This window comes from Homo sapiens, chromosome 5 (assembly GCF_000001405.40).
Source record: "Homo sapiens chromosome 5, GRCh38.p14 Primary Assembly".
In the NCBI taxonomy this organism is placed as follows: Eukaryota; Metazoa; Chordata; class Mammalia; order Primates; family Hominidae; genus Homo; species Homo sapiens.
In genome coordinates, this window is record NC_000005.10 from 104,580,823 (window position 1) to 104,587,182 (window position 6,360).

Consider the following 6,360-nt stretch of genomic DNA (forward strand, 5'->3'; position numbering starts at 1 on the left):
TTTTCATCACATTACATCAAGGGTACATACTATTAACATGACTTACCATTGTTAATGTTCACCATGGTCACCTAACTGAGCTAAGGTTTGTTAGGGTTCTCCACTGTAAAGTTATTCTTGTTACCCCTTTCCATACTGCACTCCTTGGCAGGAGGCCACTATGTGCAGCCCACACATAAAGAATGGAGAGTCCTGCTCTACATAATTTATTTGTAATTCTGTATGGAAGATATGACTCTAACTTCAATTTATTGTTCTTTAATTTATTTGTATTAGTATGCACTGAGAAATACACTTATTTTATACTATGGGTCATAATCCAATGTTATATTATTATTTAGCTTCTCAAATTGTTCCAGCTTTGGCTATTGGGAGCTATATAAATTGCCTCCTGTGTCCCTTTCACATGTCTCCATTATTCTGTGTGTGTGTGTGTGTGTGTGTGCATGTGCTATTGCTGCTGTTTTGATTTTTAGCATTTTCTTACTTTAGAACAATAAGATGCTCAAAGTTCATCTTTTATAGTTCTTGTCTTAGAGTCAGACCTATTTCCAAGGATATATGGTTTCTTTCACTGGAGAATGGTATTTGAAACCAAGATCTGTGCACAAGGTGTGCGTATTGCTTCTGGGACATTATGTTTCTTGGTCTTTGTATATATACACACATATATAATGTGTGTACATACATATATGTATTTATATTTCTACCTGTAACTACCTGTGTATAAATACATGTGTGTATATACACATGTATAAATACATGTGTATATATACATGTATATATATATGTTTGTGTATATGTGTATATATATATTTCTCATTAAAAATAAATTCTTGCCTATTTCCCCAAACCTATTCCTTTGTCACATGTATTATCCTTGCTTTCTCCCCTTGCTTATCTGCAACCTCTCACCCTGATGTAGGGAAACCTGGCTGTCACTATCTATCTCCATCTATTTACTTAATTATGCAATTCAGTATATCTGTGTAGTAGCTTTAGATTTTCTAAACCATAAACCCATAGGAATAATTTTATAACTAAGGTCTAAATTTCTATAGAGTCATTTTCACCTTTAGTAAACTCCATTCACTTCCGAAGTTACTTAAGTTAGAGCTCTTTTCCCAGTGCCCTTCAATGAGGTTTACTGCATTTGTGATAGTTTGTTAGACTAATCACATTCTGCATTTTATGATGGAATCCTCTGACTTGCCTATGTTAGTTTGCAAACATTTATATTTAATTCACTCTTTTTCTGTTGTAAAGCTTCACGCGTTTTGACAAATTTATCGTTTCACATATTCAACATTACATGATCATACAGAATAGTTTTACCAGCCAAAGAAATCTTGTACTTGATCTACCCCCTACCCCAAGCCCCCTACCCCAAATTCCTAGCAACCACTGATCCAATTATCATCTGTATAAGCTTTGTTTTTTCTAGAATGTTGTATAAATGGCCTCAAACAATATGTAGGCTTTTCAGGCTGGCTCTTCTTTTGTTTTTTGTTTTTATTTTTATTTTTTTACCTACAAATATATACACTTAAGATTCATCGATATATTTGCTGGATTTAATAGCTCATTACTTGTGTTAATGCTGAGTACTATTCTATATTATGTTTGTAACAGAATTGTTTGTCCATTTACCTATTCAAGTACATCTTGGTTACTTCCAGTTTATGGCAATTATAAATAAAGCTGCGTGCAGGTTTGTGTTTGTGCATAAACTTTCAAATCAATAGCTAGGAACACAACTGCTGAATCCTAAGACTATGTTTAGTTTTATAAGATACTGCCAAAATTCCTTTCAAAGTGGTTGTTCCATTTTGTAATCCCACTAGCAATGAATGAGACTTCCTATTGCTCTGCATTATCACCAAAAATTTATATTGTCAATCTTTTAGATTTTAGCCATTCCAATTTGTGTGGAGTATTATATCATTGTTGTTTTAACTTGCATTTCCCAATGATAAATTATGTTGAGCATGTTTTCCTATGCCCATTATTAATTAGGTTATTTATTTTCTTATTGTTGAGTTCTAACATTTCTTTGTATGTTTTGAATAAAAGTCCTTTATCAGACATGTTTTGCAAACATTTTCTCCTCGTCTGTAGCTTGTCTTTTACACACTTAGTGTCTTTTGCAAAGCATTTTCTTACGTTAGGACAATAGGTTTTAAATTTTAATAAAGTCCTATTTATCAATGTTATCTTTTATGTATGATGCTCTGGGTGTTATGTCAAAAACTCATCACCAAAATCAAAGTCACATATATTTTTCTCCTGTGTTTTCTTCAAAAAAGTTTTCTATTGTTGCATTTTACACTTAAGCCTATTACCCATTTTGTTAATTTTTTTGCATATGGATATCCAATTGTTTTAGCACCGTTTCTTGAAACAGTATTCTTTCTACATCAAGTTTTCTTTATATATATATATTTTAAAAATCAGTTGACTATATTTGTGTGGACCTAATTTTGGACTCATTATTTCCCATTTACTGGTGGAATTCTTCAACTTTATTTCCTTTCTTCAGTATTGTGTTGGCTGGTTATCCTAGATATTTTTCCTTTCTATATAAACTTCAGAAAAATTTGTTTAATATCTATAAAAGTGTTTTCTAGGATTTTTATTGGGATTTGTTTGAATCTGTATATAATTAAGATATTAATTTTCACCATCCATGCACATGGAATATCTATTTATTGATATTTTATTTATTTGATCAATGTGTTATAGTTTTCTGCATACAGATATTGTTCATATTTTGTTGAATTTATAACATTTTATTTTTGGTGGTTTTGTAAATTACATTATTTAGAATTTCAAATATAGGATAGAAAAGCAATTGACTTTTGTATATTAACTTTGTATACTGTGCTATTACTATACACTAGAATAATGTCTGCCACAGGGTAAGAGCTACATAATAAAAATATTTAGTGTTGTTAGGCCAGTTTGGCCAAAAGGTTTGGAAAGTATATAATTACAGTTGTTCAGGAGAGAAATTATGATAAAAGTTTTTACCTTTAAATAAAAATTAAATTATTTAGGGAAAACTGTTTTGTAAATGATAATCCTGTCATTAGAGAAGTGCAGAGTGAGGTCTGAAGTCAAGCCAAGTATGTGAAAGAGCCAGGATGAGAGTAATGAATGTCTTATTTCCCTTTCTATGTGCAAATAACACAACTCCTATTTTCAGTAGCATAACACAGAATCAGAAAATTAGGGGTTTATGAGAGTTTGCCTAGTTATTTTTTCCCATTTTCCAAGTTTTTCTTGTTTAATATCAAGAAGAAAGTATAAACATTGAGTACCTAATGGTAAAGGAAATTATTCTGGTAGCTAAGGATACAAAGGCTCTGTAATATTCTTCTCACCATTGAGAAATTTATCATATGTTTGGGAATTTAAGCATAGATACGTGGATGATAAAGTTACTCAGATGTCCTCTGGAATTTAAATCTTTTATTTTACTTACTAAGAAACTATGGATTTGAGAGCCAAAACTTTCTAGCACAAAGCCCAGCACCATGGTGCTGGATCTGTGTCAAAACCAGGTTGTTTGTTTCCCACTTGTTTTCTTTACTTTTTTCTTTCTTTTTCCAGGAGATTGTCAAGATTGTCATACAGAAGTTACAGATGCTCCTCAAATTATGATGGGGTTATGTACCAATAAACACATTGCAAATTGAAAATATTCGAAGTTGAAAATGCTTTTAATACATCCAGCCTATCAAACATCATAGCTTTGCCTAGCCTACCTTTAAGGTGCTCAGAACTCTTACATTAGCTTATAATTATGGGCAAAGTCATCAAATACAAAGCCCACTTAAAAAATAAATGTTGACTATATTGTGTAATTTATTGAACACCATGCTGAAAGTAAAAAACAGAATGCTTATATGGGACCTCGTGGTAAGCTTTCTACTGAACGTGTATCACTTTTGTACCATCATAAAGATAAGAAATCATAAGTCACACCATGGGTTGAGGATCACTTGTATTTCATTTTTTAAATGTCTATGTTATATATTGTTGAAAGAAACAATTCCTTTGATTTCTATGAACATAAATTTCTATCCTAAGTATTATAAATATTATAGCCTTACTTTTTACTCTTCTCCCTGACATTGAAATAAATAACCTGATAGCTAAACATTAGGAGAAATTAGGTTCCTGTAGATCATCCTCATTTTCCCTTTTTCTCTTAAGATATGGGTGTCAACAGGAAACATAGACTCTGAACATTTTTCTAGAGTGGATCAAGGCAGCTGCTTAAGGGAAGCCAGGGGACTGTGATTATTTGGGATTTTTGGTAACTTCTGGATTAGTGCAATTCAGAGAAGTTTTAGAATTTTGTACAATTGTCCATGAACAATGTGTAGCATTTGAAGATCAAATAGGTTTAATTATTAAAATCAATAAGATAGATGAAAAAGCTAGAATATGTTAGGATAGTAACATATCCACATATTGCATAATGATTATTGTTCTGACAATCCCGATCTCCTAGTCCCAACAATGGAAAGGGAGGGAATTCCCTAGGGGGCATCAATGTTGAATAATGCATTAAATTAAGCATGGCATGGGATGAAGAGTAAGGTTCTGAAAACTTCCTGGTTTGAATCACAAGTCTACCACTTTCTAGCTTTGCAACTGTGGGTGAGTTACATAACCTCTCTGCTTCTCAATTACCTAAAATGCAAAATCAGGATACTAGGGCCTACTTCATGAGAATTAACTAAAGGAATGCCTGGCATGTTAAAAATACTCTAAAATATTTGTTATGAAATAAAGTATATAAATAAATAAATACACTCAAGGGAGGATAGGACCATTGGGACTAGTAATGAGGAAATTTATGTGACTTTGCAGATGGTAGTTGTACTACAGTGGCAAGGGCTGAAGCCCCGATGCTATATGCTTAAGGAATAAGAGACACCAAGGCAGCCAAAACAGATTATATAAAAGAATATTAATCTGGAAAAATAGATAAGAGCATTAAATATATTTATGTAGCAATCATTTAGAATATCTGAAGAAAAAAAGGAAACTTTTAAACTTTTTTCAAGCATTTGCATTAAGTTCATCAATTACTCTTACAGCTCATTGAAACTTCAATTATCTTGTGCATTAATTGTTGGTCACAAAAACTATCTTCTAGGGTAATGCTTATATACAAAGAGAACTTTAAACATAACTAAATCATAACCTGTTAAATGTCAATAACCTATACATTATTTATATTTGGTATTACTAAAAATAAAGGTCATCTAGACCCCATTTTACAAACCATAAAGAAATAAATAAAATGAATATTTCCTCTTTTATGCATGGTCTATCTATTTTAAATGCTTTAGTTAATAATTATTTCATAGAAACTTTGTAATTCACAGTGTGGTATAGTAAAAAGAAAACCTAGGATTACAGTAAATTTGCATCACAAAACCACAACTTGACACTTAAAGCTCTGAATATCAGGAAACCAGAACCATTACTGGGAAAGCAGGTAAAATATGTTTCTTGTGTTTGTTTGATAAAAGGATAAAGCTGTCACCATTATTAAGGTGAGGGGTTTTAATTTAATTGAGGATTTCCTTTTCTGTCTTTCCAGAAAGTCAAGCATTTTCTTCTTCTGAAACAATTGAAATTTCTTATCTTCCTGTCATCATTTTATTATTTCATTTTGACTGCCTACAACTATTTTATATTGCTTCATTTTACCTGCACCTTTTTCCTTTCCAAAAGAAATAATAATTGGAACTGAAAAGATATTGACATTATTTTTTTGGCCAGAGAGAAAGCTGGAGTAAAAGACAGTCTTTTATTCCTGCTAGATCATACGTCATATGTCCCTTTTGCCTTCTCTTCTTTGGGTTACCTAATAAACTGTAAGAGAACCACATTTTAGAAGAAGAGACATGAAGGGTCTCAGTAGTCCCATAATTATTAATTACAGTGAAGAGAGCATGCTTTATTCACACTGTAACTATGTCTTTCTCACAATGAATAAATTGGTATGACACACTGTATGTGTGAATTTGGGATGATACAACAAAATGACACAGCATAATGTTTAGTTGTATGTAATAATTTTTATTTTGAAGAATATATATATTTTTAATTTTCTTAAATCAATTAAACATTATTTAATTTCGATTTAAGTTAAAAACTTAAACGTATACATTCTGTTTCTTTTGTTTCAAATCTGTACCTGCCAAAGCAAAAATTTACCACTTTGTACAGTATTTGCAACAAATGTTTTCCTCATTCAAAATCTACTTAAAAAGGAATTTTTAAAGTAATTCAAAAAGTAACAAAAATACTTTTTTGACAATTTGTCCTGCTTTTTCA

General features: G+C 31.3%; 1 annotated feature.

Annotated features, from left to right (window-relative positions):
* Positions 5,639 to 5,808: an enhancer, noted in NCBI's record as "experimental_80648 CRE fragment used in MPRA reporter constructs". NCBI's record gives its function as "activates a minimal promoter by MPRAs in K562 erythroleukemia cells, with activity observed for the introgressed 5:103922247 variant allele {active_cell/tissue: K562}" and the evidence as "EXISTENCE:reporter gene assay evidence [ECO:0000049][PMID:34662402]".